The sequence below is a fragment of the Homo sapiens genome, chromosome 7 (assembly GCF_000001405.40).
Source record: "Homo sapiens chromosome 7, GRCh38.p14 Primary Assembly".
Classification (NCBI taxonomy): domain Eukaryota; kingdom Metazoa; phylum Chordata; class Mammalia; order Primates; family Hominidae; genus Homo; species Homo sapiens.
In genome coordinates this window covers 25741941-25759264 of record NC_000007.14, presented here as the reverse complement: position 1 = coordinate 25759264, position 17324 = coordinate 25741941, and the positions used below count along the sequence as shown (strand labels likewise).

The window sequence follows — 17324 nt, the reverse complement described above, 5'->3', positions numbered from 1 at the left end:
TAACTAATGGAGATGAAAATAAAGTTATAGTAAAGATAATACACTTTTCACAATAGGGGAAATGCCATAATTATAAATAAAACCTTTTAGATTTGCCCAGAAGTGTACTATAAACACGAACGTAAGGTTAATTAGTAAGTGGACATTTTTGTGCCTCGGTGTCATAATGATTTCAAAGTGACGCCTTGCTATTGCTTTGTATTTGTTTCAAATGAGTTTTTTATTTTTATTTTTTTAATTTGAATTTAAATTGAAATTAATTTGAAATTATACCCTAATAGGTATAGAAAACCAGTAATAAAGAGGACTGTAATACAAAACAAATTTTGGTACTGGGATATGTTCTAAACCAAACCTAAAAGGAAAGCTTTATTTGTTTCTGGTCTTTTCTGTGTGTGGTAGTTGATAGTTACAGTCGGGCGAGTGTGGGCTTGCATTCTTCTGTTACATGTAAGATCCTACTCTCAAGTATTTTTAAAGCACCCCTGAGGAACTGACACTCAGGTTACAATGGTTTAATCATGTTACTGTTGTCAGATGTCACGAAGTACATTTGTCTAGAAAAGGCAATGCATCAACCTAGCACAGAAGCCACTTCTGCACATTAGCCACCAGAACTGGAAATGTCAAGCCAATATTAAGGGCACACTATGTTTTTTGAACCCATTTAAGAGTACATGAGTGGTGAACCGTTACAGAAAAATAGCCAATTAGATAAGCATTTAAAGCAGAAAAATCTCAGTTTTGGTGAAATGTACATCTAAAAGAACTGAAGAAAAAATTTAATTTACTTGATGTTTACAAACATGTCAGAATGGAGAAGTTGGTTTTAGGTTCTTGGTTGGCTCCCACCTTGGATTTTGATTTTCCCTGTGGCCTAAATCATAGAAGAAACAAGAAGAAAGACTAAGGCTTCATGGAAGATCATTCCCAGGAACTCAACAATAGGCTACAAGTACATTTTATCATGGCACAACTGAGATGAAATATTATTCATGTTATATGGATAGGAATTGGAGATGACAGTGACTTGGCCAAGGTGTACAAGACTGTTAGGAAGAAAGGAGTGGCATCTTTCAGTGTCATGAGTTTGTAGCTTACACCATTATCACCGCTCAACATTCACAGTAAGAATTCCACATTCACATATTTAACTACCAAGACTAGGAAACAGGTCAGGTATTAATCAATTCTTATAGAAAATTGGGCATTTAAAATATTCTCAAGTTGTGTGGAACAAATAGAAACCAGAATGAGCTAGCTTCTCTCTTAGTTCTTTATTTCCAGAGTCTTTGAAGAAACTTGGATATTTCAAAAAGCATCTTTCCCAGGAAAGAGGAGGAGGGTCTGGAAAGGAATAAGAATTGTGAACTTAGCATCAGTAGATAAAGAAATGAATGCCTGTGAGGCAAGAAAACTGAGGTTTGGACCTTGGAGCAACCTTCTAAAACAAAGATCTTCTGTCAAAGATTCTTAACGCCCACTCCTGTTAAAGTTATAATAAAAAATACCATGAAATTCAGTGAAATACGTTCATTTTCAACACACAAATGGTGCTAGGCTTTCAGTCCTGATTAGAGGCATGTTTTCCTAGGATGGCTGAAGTCATTGTGTCGAGTGAGAATTTGCTTCTTCACAAAAGGCTAACCACATTTTAGTATAAATGATGTCAGTTTCTAAATGCATAAAAGGCAATAAAGCTTAAAAGTTAGAAAAAAAGATTATGAAACAGAATTCGTTTGACAATTCATTCCTTCAGGCTATGGAGGCACCATGATACCAATTTCATTTGTGAAAAAGTTAAAACTTTTTCTCATTGCTTTGTTTAAGCATTAATCAGATGTCAACATCTTGAGAAAAGTCATCTGTGGCTGGCTCAGCACTCTCTGGGTGCTGCTCTGACCCACCTTTGGGCTCAGTGGCTTTCTCAACCCAGTGGATGAATGGACCTTTCAAAGATGATCCTTAGTAACCTGAGAGACAGGCATAACCATCTTTATTTCTCATCTTTTCCTTTATTCTCTCTGTTTTTTCCTTCCATTCCTTCTCCTTCTATATTTAAGAACAACACAAGAGTTTGGAGGTTAAAGGGCACAACATTTTGTAAACCAGCCAGTCATATAAAAGAAACAAGGTACTTCATAAATATTTGGATTAGATTTATAGTCTCCACTGTTATTAAGAGGGCACTGGGTACTCCACATTCCTAACCAGAGGTAACTTCACCTTTAGCTTGGCTTCTCTTAGCTGAGTTCCTTTTTAAAAAGCCAGTCTTCTCCTGTATAGTGATTATTCTTGTAAAGTCATGATATTATAATCCATGGGATTTAGGAAAGTAAAGTGAAGATTAAAGTGCCTGGGTATCTTTGATCACAAGTCTAAGATCATTGCTGAGGATCAAAGTCTTAACTTGGGAAAATTTAGCCTCATTACTGTTTTGAGGTCTGACAGCTGTCTCTGTGCTTTTAATAGATCAATTCCATTCATCTATTCAAATGAGCTCTTCCAAATGCTTCCTTGATGTGCCAAGAACACACTTCTCATCTGTGTAGTTTTGTTATTTAAGGATGATATATTGGATTTTTTTCAGTCAATCATTTTGGTTATTCTGACACTTTCTGTATACCATGTCCTTCAAAGTTATTTTTGTTTTATCAAGAGATTTCTTTGTGTGGCTAACAGAAAATGGTGCATAATTGTAACAATAATGAAGTTTTATAGATCTTTGCACATGGGCATATGTGACATTTTAGAAATTCATAACATTCTGAGGAACATATTGGCGCCATCCTCATAGGATTTGTGTCCATGGGGATGCTAGGTGATCATTCAAGTCCTTACTTTCTATCTCATTCTGGAGATGGACTAAAAGTTGTAACACCAACACCAAGTGGCATGTTATGTATTTATATTTGTGAATTAGAATTTTCCTGAGTTGGGGAGGTGCATGGCAAGCATGTCTTTCTTGGCCTCATAGTTTGCATGAATGAAATGAAAAGATGGAATGGTGGTGCTTATGATGTATTTTATTGCTATAATACGAACCTGAGTAATGTTAATTAAGATTAATTAGGATTAAGCTAATTTACAGTGGGGGGGAATCTACTCACAGAAATAAGAACAAATTGTCTAAACTTACATATATTTACTAAATAGTAGGAACTATTTATTTAGCTAAAATTAAACTGTAACAGGTTTGGTTGAAGATTACCCACAACGTAACCAGTCAAGGGGAAATACTGTAAGGATAAAAATTCAACCAAGGGCCAGGTGCAGTGGCTCACGGCTGTAATCCCAGCACTTTGGGAGGCTGAGGCGGGTGGATCACGAGGTCAGGATATCGAGACCATCCTGGCTAACACGGTGAAACCCCGTCTCTACTAAAAATACAAAAAATTAGCTGGGCGTGGTGGCAGGCGCCTGTAGTCTCAGCTACTTGGGAGGCTGAGGCAGGAGAATGGCGTGAACCCAGGAGGTGGAGCTTGCAATGGGCCCAGATGGCGCCACTGCTCTCCAGCCTGGGCAACAGAGCAAGACTCCACCTCAAAGAAAAAAAAAAATCAAATAAGATGTTACACAATGAATACTATACACATCACTGTCTTGAGGGCTCAAAGGACCCTTTAATTCTTCCCTAGCACAATGGAAAGAAAAACAGGAGAGGCACAGTACCTAATATAATAGATGTTGGAACACAAGGCCAGAGAGAACTATGTAGAATCTCAGGTGGCATAAACAGCCAGGAATTGCTTGAGAAAGCAGTAAACAAAGACAGTTGTCTTTCCAGCAAAGGCAATTCAATATTCAGATCTTAGACTATTGGGCCTTCAATTGAGAAGCTTTTGGAAGGCCTGAAGTGTGAGGATCTGAAGTCTTTGTGGAAGATACAAAGGGAATGGATGGGGTTACCAGACATTGGATGGTGACACGGAGCCCCAGGATGGGAATCTGTGCCACCACTCAGCATCCAGGAGCTCCAAAGCATCTGCTTATTTGGGGCTACTCCAGGTGGTGTTTTCAAGATAATTCATCCTGAGTGAAATGTTCCCAATAGCCTTTGATCCAGCGACTAAAGTCTCTTTTTGGTGATGCCCCAGGAGGTGAGAGCACTTTGTGTATATCCCTGGTGGCCTGCCCAATTCCTTAGGTTGGTTTCTTCTCTGCTTCAGTAATGAAAATGTGCTGCAATAACCAAAGACCTGCAAAGCAATGTGGAAATATTCACTCATTAGTGAACTATCAGTGCCTCCCATGACTGTTGCCATTTCTATCCATGCAGATGGCAAAGGGCTGGCTTCTGAGTGTGTCTTCCTGAGGCTGCAGAGCAGGAAGGTGACAATCACATCAACCTCTCTCTCCCTCGCATCATCCTGTCCATTTGCTCCTCTCTGCATATACTCCCAGTGCCAAAAATCTAGTTAATTCTGAATTTCCCCAGGCAGTGTCTTCATTTAGGTAGTGCATATCCAAGGCCCAGCATCTGGGTGTCTAAAATCAGTATATTGCCCTGTAGACAGATTTTAGCCACCCCAGATGGAGTTTATGCTCAGGAAGTGTTGGACCTTAGCAGAGCTTTCAGACTTAAGGAAGAAAAAAGATCGACTTTACCACCTTGGCAGCATGGAGACAGCTTTATGTACATGTTCTTACAGGGTTTGGCTAAACATTTTGTACGGTTCGGGTGGAACATGTGAAGAACTGTAATAGAAGCAGAAGCGTTGCAACACGATGGCCCGACCATGGGGGCTTGGCAGCAACTTGCTCCAGCTCTCAGTTTGGTACAAAGTGCTATCATTACCATTTGGAAGCAGCTCCCTGTAATGTGAAAACACTTCCAGGGAAATGCCAGGAATCACAAACACAGCCTTTACAGAATGCAGAGACAACCACTATCTTTGCAGGTGGCCATTGGTGGCCCGGATCTGCCTCCCCAAGTCTTAGGCAGAATCTGGAGTGGACAGGAGGGAGTTGAGGGCAGGGAGGGGGTAAAGATATTTTCCCCAGTCCAGCCAGAAAGCTCGGGTAAACGGGCCCTTCCTTTGTACTCTTGGGTCTTCTGTGTGATCAGCTGAGGCTGAGGAATCTTTGGGGCAAACTCAAGGCAGCCGTGTAAGTCAGGCCTTGGGGAAAGCGGGGAGCAAGGCAGAAAAACAGAGCAGTGGGAAGTGGTTGCTTGGTGCTGAGTTTGGCTTAAAGTGTTGAGCTGTGCTTGAGCCTTCAGGCTCCAAGCAAAACTCCAGGGGAATGAAACCCACAGCAACCCAAACAAGGTTAAGGCTGAGCAGGAGGCCGTCTGTGGGGCCACACTGCTCTTCACACGCGGCCTGTGCAGGCCTTTCGGTGGATGGAGACCTTTCACTGCAAATCGGGTTTCTTTGGACTCATCTGAGCCAGAGTCGTTGAATGTGTTCAGTCACGACTCGGTTTTTCCCAGAAGCAGAACCCCTTTCTCACACCCAAGACCATGTCCTTGGCTGGCAAGCTATTATTTACCTCGTAGCCGAGCCAGGCAAGGGAGCCGGGGGTTGTTTTTGTGAAGAAATTCACACTGGGGATGGGTTGTAAAAGGAAAATATGAACAGAGGTTTGGAGTCGAGACTCTGAGACTCTGTTGGGGTGAACTCCCCCCTCCATAAGAGTCCTAGAAAAACAGAGGCGATGTCGTCATAGCAGCTGCTGATGGCCTGACAGACAGTTTCCGCAGCGCTACATGAGGCCCTTTGGTGTCTCTGTCAGGAGATTGGCAGCTGAATGACACCAATGAGGCCGGGCCTGTATTCCCTCTGGGAATGCCGCCCTAATTGATAGACAGAAGGCAAAGAGGAGGATTGTTTTTGAACCTGAAAAGAAACCCCCTTTTTTTCTCCCGAAAGCTCATGCCCCCACTCTCCACAGCTCTATTTTCCCCTCCCTCCGACACTTTTTTTGGAAGGTGTTTTGTTCCAGGGCAGTTACAGAGCTTAATGGAACTGAATGACTTTTACCCTTCACAATCTGTCAGTCAAAGCCCGACTCCAGGACTGTTAAATAAAGTCCTTTCAGAGGCAGACAGGAGAGGAATGTGTCAGTCAGGCAACAGACCCTGTTGTGTTTTAATCTGTCAGAGGGCTGATGAGGAGAGCAGCGGGCCCCAGGCAGGGCACATTCCCAGCAGCCCGAAGAGGCCTTGACAAACCCAGGTGTGGAGCCAGAAAGTCCCCCCACTCCAGCATTCTTGAGGTGTGGACTCAGAGCCCCCAGGCACTCGGGTTTGCAATCAACTGTGAGATGTTTGGGCAAATTTTCAGCACAGGTTTCATACTAAGCATTTTAAACATAAAACCAACCACTAAGTGCTGGGTATCCGTACGAGGCATGGCTTTCAAATTAATACACTGCTTAGCTGAAAATACAGCAGACAGTAATGTTCTTGCTGAGGGGCCTTCAGGTAGACTCCAATTCCAAACCAATTTTGTCTAGCCACTTTCATTTCTTTCTAATACTTTCCCTTCACATTATATGACAATCCATTAATCTTGCCCATTAACTTAAAATTGCTGGGCAGTTTTTTTGCAGAGTTCTCAACAGTTGCTTTTGTTCACTATAGATTCAGAGCGTTACATAAAAAATGTCCACCATTAGACATACTAATGACCAATTCCTTATGTTTGGGTGACATTTCCTTTAAGGGGTTTCAAAAAAAAATTGGAAAAGGATGAGAGTAGAGTGGAAATAGGGCGGAGGGAGTGGGGAAGTTGATTTTTAAACAAACGGGGTTTGTTTTTATCAGCGTGCAGGAGAAAAAGCTACAAAATACCAATACAGATATTTTTACCCAGGGCTGAAGGCCTGGGTGTTCAGGCAGGAAAGGCATCCCCTTGCCGCAGATGAGTGGCAGTGGGTCTGGCAGGGAAGGCGGTCTGCAGAGCCTCAGCCCTGAGGGTTGTTTGGGCTCAGGATAAACTTGAGTATGTTATTTATTACTTGCCTGTTTTCTTGCCTCTCCTCAGGAGATTTTGTATAAAACAAGAGCAATCTTCCCTACTTCCCCCCAGCCCTGCAGTTTTCTTTTCTTTGACATGCCTACCTTCTACCTCCCAACACACTTCCCAAATTAGTCAGTTAGCAAAATTTTGTTTCTTTTCTTTTCTCTTTTTTATCCCCTGCTCAGGTCTAGGTATTGGGGTGTCCATCTTCCAGCAGCTCCTGGGACCGCTCGCGTTACATTGGTGTATTAGGCAATGAAAAATTCCCCTTCTTCTCTCCTTCCATCCCTCTCTAGCCAAAAGTGTCAACTTTGTGTTTTTTTCTAACCATGGGCATGGGCCCCTAGGTATAAACCTGTTTTAGACAGACTAAACTGAAATTTGAAAGGCCTCTGGCATAGACTGATACACTTTGTCAAGCTGAAGTAGGTCTAAAGATGTTAAAATAAATATGGCACACTCTCTGTTACTAAAGCTAAACAATTTCCGAAGAAATGAATTTTCAGCATTTTACCCCCATCTATGAAATTAGAGAATCACGATGGACTAAATGGGAAGGGATTAACAACAAAGCAAAAGCACGATAACTGATTTCTATACTGAGGTGGAGAAAGAAAGTCTTTTCTCAAATGATAATCAGGTTCTGTGAGCTATCTTAGAGCCTGCAGTGCCTCAAGATGTTTAGAAGGGACTATGGGTTAGATTTTATGCCCACGGAAAACTTCATGGGAACAATATTCCTCTAGAATAGTAATGAAGTCTTCAGCTTCATTCCAAAAATATGTGCTCTGAGGCTTCCTGAGTCCATCCTTCACTGGTTATTAACGATCTGGCACACTTTATAAAAAAGCCATGTTTTATAAATGAAAAGTTCACTTGCTGCCTGCCTGCCATTCCTTCTCTCAGCCTAAAACAAACATCCTATTCGGGTACTGCCGGGAAACACTGGAGCCTTCTAAACAAGGGAAACATTTTTTTTCTCTTATCCCTGAGACTTAAAATGGATGCCACGGCTTCTGTTTTTAACATTAACAGCTACGCAAACACTTGCAAGCGAAAGCATGCAGCTGATAAAAATACTTCTTATAATGGCAGTGTGTTCTCTAGTGGGGAGAAAAACACTTCAGATAAAGCTCTTAATCCTCCCATTTCTTCACAGGTGACACCCAAAAAATTGCTCTGGTTAAAAAGCAAATAAACATACACACAAACCAAAAAATACAAATAAACCAAAATCCTACGTGTTGCTCTGGCAGCTCCCAAATTCAGTCCATAAAAGCACGGTTAGGAGCAAACAGCTTTTCAATTTCCCTGTGTCCTTTCCTATGGCTGTGGTTGGAGAGACGTAGAGAGAGGCTGCTGCGAAGTCACAATCCAGCCACACGGCATTGATCCTGTCATGGCTGGTGTGGTTGTGTCCACACGTGACCTGAACATCCTTCCCACTCAGTACCAAATACAGTCAATTCTGTGGCTTGATGGTGCGTGGACATAACATTCAGATATCGCCCATGGTAAGTTTGTCAGCCTTCATACTTAAATAATGCCTGCAAAACATCTGTCCTGCTGGGCTTTCATTAGGATGGTTGCTAAATCTTTTGTCTTAGATGGATGCTCTAAGAAACACAATTTCCTTTCTGGAGTTGCGTGCAGAAACAACTGAAAACTACATCTGAAAGTCTGCTTGATAATGCTTAAATTCTTTCTATTTTTTGGACTGATTAAGATTTGAAATTCCCTTTTCAAGTCTATTTTAATATTCAGAAACTTACATGTCAGTTACACAAATAGCACACTCTTGGAGTTTTAGCTGAAGATCTCCAAACCAGATTACCCAAAGACTTGAGGGGCCATCTCTACAGGAAGTTCAGGGGAAAACTAAACCCAAGTTTGTAAACTAGTAAATCAGTAACCAAGGGTTGGAAACAGAGTCAGAGCCTTGGCCTGCCCATCCATTTCCTTCATTATTAGTTCTTGTGTGATTTTTAGTCGAATTAGATCATCTTTGTGATTAATTATTTGTAATAATAATAATTCTGGTAATAATTATTAATGATAATATAATGTATTGATTATATATTATGTTATTTGGATGATAATAACATGTGCTAAGTGCATTCCTCATGCATTCCGTATATTATTTAAAAGACAAAAGCCTCCTCTTTGAAACAATGTTTATGGTGGCTAAGAGCCTGGCCTTGGGTGACAACTGCTCCCTGCCTGTGATGCTCAGCTATCACATTGGGGTAATAATAGCATGGACTTCACAAGTTGGTTGTGTAACTAAATGAGTTAGTATTTGGAAAGCCCAGGGAAGTATTCCTGGTCCAACATAGGTGCTGTATAAGTGTTAATACTATTATTATTGTTTTGTTCTACTGTGTAGCCTACATGAATAATGTGAGGGTAGCGTCCACCAATTAGGAACAGCATTCTTTTTTTTTTTTTAATTATACTTTAAGTTTTAGGGTACATGTGCACATTGTGCAGGTTAGTTACATATGTATACATGTGCTATGCTGGTGCACTGCACCCACTAACTCGTCATCTAGCATTAGGTATATCTCCCAATGCTATCCCTCCCCCCTCCCCCCACCCCACAACAGTCCCCAGAGTGTGATGTTCCCCTTCCTGTGTCCATGTGATCTCATTGTTCAATTCCCACCTATGAGTGAGAATATGCGGTGTTTGGTTTTTTGTTCTTGCGATAGTTTACTGAGAATGATGTTTTCCAATTTCATCCATGTCCCTACAAAGGACATGAACTCATCATTTTTTATGGCTGCATAGTATTCCATGGTGTATATGTGCCACATTTTCTTAATCCAGTCTATCATTGTTGGACATTTGGGTTGGTTCCAAGTCTTTGCTATTGTGAATAATGCTGCAATAAACATACGTGTGCATGTGTCTTTATAGCAGCATGATTTATAGTCCTTTGGGTATATACCCAGTAATGGGATGGCTGGGTCAAATGGTATTTCCAGTTCTAGATCCCTGAGGAATCGCCATACTGACTTCCACAATGGTTGAACTAGTTTACAGTCCCAACAACAGTGTAAAAGTGTTCCTATTTCTCCACATCCTCTCCAGCACCTGTTGTTTCCTGACTTTTTAATGATTGCCGTTCTAAACTGGTGTGAGATGGTATCTCATTGTGGTTTTGATTTGCATTTCTCTGAAGGCCAGTGATGATGAGCATTTTCTCCTGTGTTTTTTGGCTGCATAAATGTCTTCTTTTGAGAAGTGTCTGTTCATGTCCTTCACCCACTTTTTGATGGGGTTGTTTGTTTTTTTCTTGTAAATTTGTTTGAGTTCATTGTAGATTCTGGATATTAGCCCTTTGTCAGATGAGTAGGTTGCAAAAATTTTCTCCCATTTTGTAGGTTGCCTGTTCACTCTGATGGTAGTTTCTTTTGCTGTGCAGAAGCTCTTTAGTTTAATTAGATCCCATTTGTCAATTTTGGCTTTTGTTGCCATTGCTTTTGGTGTTTTGGACATGAAGTCCTTGCCCATGCCTATGTCCTGAATGGTAATGCCTAGGTTTTCTTCTAGGGTTTTTATGGTTTTAGGTCTAACGTTTAAGTCTTTAATCCATCTTGAATTAATTTTTGTATAAGGTGTAAGGAAGGGATCCAGTTTCAGCTTTCTGCATATGGCTCGCCAGTTTTCCCAGCACCATTTATTAAATAGGGAATCCTTTCCCCATTGCTTGTTTTTGTCAGGTTTGTCAAAGATCAGATAGTTGTAGATGTGCGGCGTTATTTCTGAGGGCTCTGTTCTGTTCCATTGATCTATGTCTCTGTTTTGGTACCAGTACCATGCTGTTTTGGTTACTGTGGCCTTGTAGTATAGTTTGAAGTCAGGTAGCATGATGCCTCCAGCTTTGTTCTTTTGGCTTAGGATTGACTTAGCGATGCGGGCTCTTTTTTGGTTCCATATGAACTTTAAAGTAGTTTTTTCCAATTCTGTGAAGAAAGTCATTGGTAGCTTGATGGGGATGGCATTGAATCTGTAAATTACCTTGGGCAGTATGGCCATTTTCACGATATTGATTCTTCCTACCCATGAGCATGGAATGTTCTTCCATTTGTTTGTATCCTCTTTTATTTCATTGAGCAGTGGTTTGTAGTTCTCCTTGAAGAGGTCCTTCACATCCCTTGTAAGTTGGATTCCTAGGTATTTTATTCTCTTTGAAGCAGTTGTGAATGGGAGTTCACTCATGATTTGGCTCTCTGTTTGTCTGTTGTTGGTGTATAAGAATGCTTGTGATTTTTGTACATTGATTTTGTATCCTGAGACTTTGCTGAAGTTGCTTATCAGCTTAAGGAGATTTTGGGCTGAGACAACGGGGTTTTCTAGATATACAATCATGTCATCTGCAAACAGGGACAATTTGACTTCCTCTTTTCCTAATTGAATACCCTTTATTTCCTTCTCCTGCCTAATTGCCCTGGCCAGAACTTCCAACACTATGTTGAATAGGAGTGGTGAGAGAGGGCATCCCTGTCTTGTACCAGTTTTCAAAGGGAATGCTTCCAGTTTTTGCCCATTCAGTATGATATTGGCTGTGGGTTTGTCATAGATAGCTCTTATTATTTTGAAATACGTCCCATCAATACCTAATTTACTGAGAGTTTTTAGCATGAAGGGTTGTTGAATTTTGTCAAAGGCTTTCTCTGCATCTATTGAGATAATCATGTGGTTTTTGTCTTTGGCTCTGTTTATATGCTGGATTACATCTATTGATTTGCGTATATTGAACCAGCCTTGGATCCCAGGGATGAAGCCCACTTGATCATGGTGGATAAGCTTTTTGATGTGCTGCTGGATTTGTTTTGCCAGTATTTTATTGAGGATTTTTGCATCAATGTTCATCAAGGATATTGGTCTAAAATTCTCTTTTTTTGTTGTGTCTCTGCCTGGCTTTGGTATCAGAATGATGCTGGCCTCATAAAATGAGTTAGGGAGGATTCCCTCTTTTTCTATTGATTGGAATAGTTTCAGAAGGAATGGTACCAGTTCCTCTTTGTACCTCTGGTAGAATTCAGCTGTGAATCCATCTGGTCCTGGACTCTTTTTGGTTGGTAAGCTATTGATTATTGCCACAATTTCAGATCCTGTTATTGGTCTATTCAGAGATTCAACTTCTTCCTGGTTTAGTCTTGGGAGAGTGTATGTGTCAAGGAATTTATCCATTTCTTCTAGATTTTCTAGTTTATTTGCGTAGAGGTGTTTGTAGTATTCTCTGATGGTAGTTTGTATTTCTGTGGGATCGGTGGTGATATCCCCTTTGTCATTTTTTATTGCGTCTATTAGATTCTTCTCTCTTTTTTTCTTTATTAGTCTTGCTAGCAGTCTATCAATTTTGTTGATCCTTTCAAAAAACCAGCTCCTGGATTCATTAATTTTTTGAAGGGTTTTTTGTGTCTCTGTTTCCTTCAGTTCTGCTCTGATCTTAGTTATTTCTTGCCTTCTGTTAGCTTTTGAATGTGTTTGCTCTTGCTTTTCTAGTTCTTTTAATTGTGATGTTAGGTGTCAATTTTGGATCTTTCCTGCTTTCTCTTGTGGGCATTTAGTGCTATAAATTTCCCTCTACACACTGCTTTGAATGCGTCCCAGAGATTCTGGTATGTTGTGTCTTTGTTCTCATTGGTTTCAAAGAACATCTTTATTTCTGCCTTCATTTCGTTATGTACCCAGTAGTCATTCAGGAGCAGGTTGTTCAGTTTCCATGTAGTTGAGCCGTTTTGAGTGAGTTTCTTAATCCTGAGTTCTAGTTTGATTGCACTGTGGTCTGAGAGATAGTTTGTTATAATTTCTGTTCTTTTACATTTGCTGAGGAGAGCTTTACTTCCAAGTATGTGGTCAATTTTGGAATAGGTGTGGTGTGGTGCTGAAAAAAATGTATATTCTGTTGATTTGGGGTGGAGAGTTCTGTAGATGTCTATCAGGTCCGCTTGGTGCAGAGCTGAGTTCAATTCCTGGGTATCCTTGTTGACTTTCTGTCTCGTTGATCTGTCTAATGTTGACAGTGGGGTGTTAAAGTCTCCCATTATTAATGTGTGGGAGTCTAAGTCTCTTTGTAGGTCACTCAGGACTTGCTTTATGAATGTTGGTGCTCCTGTATTGGGTGCATATATATTTAGGATAGTTAGCTCTTCTTGTTGAATTGATCCCTTTACCATTATGTAATGGCCTTCTTTGTCTCTTTTGATCTTTGTTGGTTTAAAGTCTGTTTTATCAGAGACTAGGATTGCAATCCCTGCCTTTTTTTGTTTTCCATTTGCTTGGTAGACCTTCCTCCATCCTTTTATTTTGAGCCTATGTGTGTCTCTGCTCGTGAGATGGGTTTCCTGAATACAGCACACTGATGGGTCTTGTCTCTTTATCCAATTTGCCAGTCTGTGTCTTTTAATTGGAGCATTTAGTCCATTTACATTTAAAGTTAATATTGTTATGTGTGAATTTGATCCTGTCATTATGATGTTAGCTGGTTATTTTGCTCGTTAGTTGATGCAGTTTCTTCCTAGTCTCGATGGTCTTTACATTTTGGCATGATTTTGCAGCGGCTCGTACCGGTTGTTCCTTTCCATGTTTAGCGCTTCCTTCAGGACCTCTTTTAGGGCAGGCCTGGTGGTGACAAAATCTCTCAGCATTTGCTTGTCTGTAAGGTATTTTATTTCTCCTTCACTTATGAAGCTTAGTTTGGCTGGATATGAAATTCTGGGTTGAAAATTCTTTTCTTTAAGAATGTTGAATATTGGCCCCCACTCTCTTCTGGCTTGTAGGGTTTCTGCCGAGAGATCCGCTGTTAGTCTGATGGGCTTCCCTTTGAGGGTAACCCGACCTTTCTCTCTGGCTGCCTTTAACATTTTTTCCTTCATTTCAACTTTGGTGAATCTGACAATTATGTGTCTTGGAGTTGCTCTTCTCGAGGAGTATGTTTGTGGCGTTCTCTGTATTTCCTGAATCTGAACGTTGGCCTGCCTTGCTAGATTGGGGAAGTTCTCCTGGATAATATCCTGCAGAGTGTTTTCCAGCTTGGTTCCATTCTCCCCATCACTTTCAGGTACACCAATCAGACGTAGATTTGGTCTTTTCACGTAGTCCCATATTTCTTGGAGGCTTTGCTCATTTCTTTTTATTCTTTTTTCTCTAAACTTCCCTTCTCGCTTCATTTCATTCATTTCATCTTCCATCGCTGATACCCTTTCTTCCAGTTGATCGCATCAGCTCCTGAGGCTTCTGCATTCTTCACGTAGTTCTCGAGCCTTGGTTTTCAGCTCCATCAGCTCCTTTAAGCACTTCTCTGTATTGGAAATTCTAGTTATAAATTCTTCTAAATTTTGTTCAAAGTTTTCAACTTCTTTGCCTTTGGTTTGAATGTCCTCCCGTAGCTCAGAGTAATTTGATCGTCTGAAGCCTTCTTCTCTCAGCTCGTCAAAGTCATTCTCCATCCAGCTTTGTTCCGTTGCTGGTGAGGAACTGCGTTCCTTTGGAGGAGGAGAGGCGCTCTGCTTTTTAGAGTTTCCAGTTTTTCTGTTCTGTTTTTTCCCCATCTTTGTGGTTTTATCTACTTTTGGTCTTTGATGATGGTGATGTACAGATGGGTTTTTGGTGTGGATGTCCTTTCTGTTTATTAGTTTTCCTTCTAACAGACAGGACCCTCAGCTGCAGGTCTGTTGGAATACCCTGCCGTGTGAGGTGTCAGTGTGCCCCTGCTGGGGGGTGCCTCCCAGTTAGGCTGCTCGGGGGTCAGGGGTCAGGGACCCACTTGAGGAGGCAGTCTGCCCGTTCTCAGATCTCCAGCTGCGTGCTGGGAGAACCACTGCTCTCTTCAAAGCTGTCAGACAGGGACATTTAAGTCTGCAGAGGTTACTGCTGTCTTTTTATTTGTCTGTGCCCTGCCCCCAGAGGTGGAGCCTACAGAGGCAGGCAGGCCTCCTTGAGCTGTGGTGGGCTCCGCCCAGTTCGAGCTTCCCGGCTGCTTTGTTTACCTAAGCAAGCCTGGGCAATGGCGGGCGCCCCTCCCCCCAGCCTCACTGCGCCTTGCAGTTTGATCTCAGACTGCTGTGCTAGCAATCAGCGAGACTCGGTGGGGTAGGACCCTCCAAGCCAGGTGCGGGTTATAATCTCGTGGTGCGCCGTTTTTTAAGCCCGTCGGAAAAGTGCAGTATTGGGGTGGGAGTGACCCGATTTTCCAGGTGCCATCCGTCACCCCTTTCTTTGACTCGGAAATGGAACTCGCTGACCCCTTGCGTTTCCCAAGTGAGGCAATGCCTCGCCCTGCTTCGGCTCGCGCACGGTGCGCGCACCCACTGACCTGCGCCCACTGTCTGGCGCTCCCTAGTGAGATGAACCCGGTACCTCAGATGGAAATGCAGAAATCACCGTCTTCTGCGTCGCTCACGCTGGGAGCTGTAGACCGGAGCTGTTCCTATTCGGCCATCTTGGCTCCTCCTCCAGGAACAGCATTCTTTATCAACGGCAATAAGCCCTTTCCCTCCTCTCACTACCAAGCATCCTCCAAATAGTGGTCGTGTTGGCATATAAAATGGCCCAAGGCTTGCAACAGTGAATTTCTGGTGAGTGAATGGTTTAAAAAAAACCTTCTTGGGAAAGTTCCCTTGTGAGCAGGCAACCCTGCAGGGAGGCATTTACCTCAGGGCAACACTGAATTAGTCCTAGTGCAGTTTAGACTTCCACAGAGGTGGCCAAAGGCTTCTAAGGTCCCTGGGGGTGGCATCTCACTCTCTGGGCACCTGTCTATTCTCGCTGGGCAGTCTCTGAAGGGCTGTGCCTGGCCCTTGAAGGCCAGGCCATATTCATCTAAGATGTTTGACCTTTGACTCGTTAAACTTGTCGTGACTCTCCCTCACGTCCATATAGAGCTAATACATGATATTCAAATGGTCCCTCTGTTAAGAAAATAGCCTGGAAACTAGAGAAGACCTCAGCAGGGTGCATAGGCAGGAGGCAGGGCATCCCTGTGCAGTGAGGCTATTTTTGATAACCAGGCCCCCTCCTTTGGCCACCTTTGTGTTTTCCAGACCATCTCATATAGTGGATGCAGTCCCACCCCTTGGGCTTCAACCACAGCCAAATCCTGCCAGGGCATTGCACCCGCCGCTTCCTAATTGCTACCAGATTTGTCACTTTCCCTTTGGGAAGATAGCTAAGTCTAGCAGTCATAGCATGCTTTCCTATTTAACTGGAAGGACAAACAACCCTAAATTTAATCCAGGTTAGTTCAATTAATATTTATTAAACACCTATAGATGCCTTTAATCACTTATTTTATTTCCTATCAATAAATTCCTGTATAAATATTATAAGAATGTAAGAAAATCTGCAGATTATTTTAACTACATTTTCTGATAACCTTTGCCCTGCCGAAATTAATTCTCAAATACCTGTAATGTTGATCTTGTTTTAGAAAGGCAGCACAGTGCTCCCTCTGGTTCTCACCTCTTACAGGCTTGCACTGATGCCCACACACACTTTTGTTTGGTTAATATAGTGAAATAAGAGGCACCTAATTCAGAAACCCTTGAGCAGGTCTGACCTGGCCACAGTATAGTCTGCAGACGTGATATAGCTCGGTTGTAGCTCAGAACTAACTGGCTCAGAGGGACCCCAAATCCATTTGGCTCAGCAAAAGTGTGTACTAATTCCTATAGTGTCTTGGCCCTGGCAAGAAGCAAGTGACAGATACATCCTGTGGCTGGGGATGAAAAAGTTGGGGTCATCCAAATTGGAGTAGGTAGTGATTTGGTCTTTCAGTCTCGAACTCTTGTGATGCAGACATAATTCATGAGTCAGCAAATAAATAGTTTTAGAGCTCTCAGGCAGGACAGCAGCAAAGTGATATTGGCCATCTGTGGTGTTTTGTTTTTATTTGTGCAAATTTATGGGGTACAGGAGAGATTTTGTTACATGTATGTAATATGTAGTGATCAACTCAGGGTATTCAGGCTGTCCATCACCTGAGTGCAATATATTTTTATTAAGTAGAGTCACCTTACTCTGCTATCAAACAATGAATTTATTCCTTCCATCTTACTGTATGTTTGTACCCTTTAATCTATTTGTCTTCATCTTCCCCCTGCACTCACCCTTCCTAGTCTTTATCTACTTTTCTACTCTCTACCCCTTGTGTCCAGAGTTTTAGCCCCACATATAAGTGAGAACATGAGATATTTGTCTTTTTGTGCCAGGCTTATTTCACTTAAGTTAATGACCTCCAGTTCCAACCATGCTGCTGTAAATGAGATGATTTCATTACTTCTTATGGCTGAATAGTATTCTGTTGTGTATATATACCACATTTTCTTTACCTATTCTCCACTGATGGAC

At 41.8% G+C, this 17324-nt stretch overlaps 1 long non-coding RNA gene across 8 annotated transcripts in view, besides 2 other annotated features; it reads left to right on the top strand.

Annotated features, from left to right (window-relative positions):
• Positions 1-17324, top strand: part of LINC03007 (long intergenic non-protein coding RNA 3007) — a 196819-nt gene that overhangs the window by 30855 nt on the left and 148640 nt on the right. For 2 of the 8 annotated variants that reach the window (NR_157814.1, NR_157815.1), the window contains exon 1: positions 8233-8479. The exons of the other annotated variants lie outside the window; for them this stretch is intronic. This is a non-coding gene — a long non-coding RNA (long intergenic non-protein coding RNA 3007). Of the gene's footprint in view, positions 1-8232; positions 8480-17324 lie in introns of those variants that run through there. 8 annotated transcript variants of the gene reach the window in all.
• Positions 4603-6982: an enhancer, noted in NCBI's record as "VISTA enhancer hs1325". NCBI's record gives its function as "enhancer in: hindbrain (rhombencephalon)[5/5] | midbrain (mesencephalon)[5/5] | forebrain[5/5]" and the evidence as "EXISTENCE:transgenic organism evidence [ECO:0001131][PMID:17130149]".
• Positions 14737-15330: an enhancer, noted in NCBI's record as "H3K27ac-H3K4me1 hESC enhancer chr7:25783555-25784148 (GRCh37/hg19 assembly coordinates)". NCBI's record gives its function as "activates a minimal SCP1, AML or CMV promoter by ChIP-STARR-seq in primed H9 embryonic stem cells {active_cell/tissue: H9 hESC(primed)}" and the evidence as "EXISTENCE:reporter gene assay evidence [ECO:0000049][PMID:30033119]".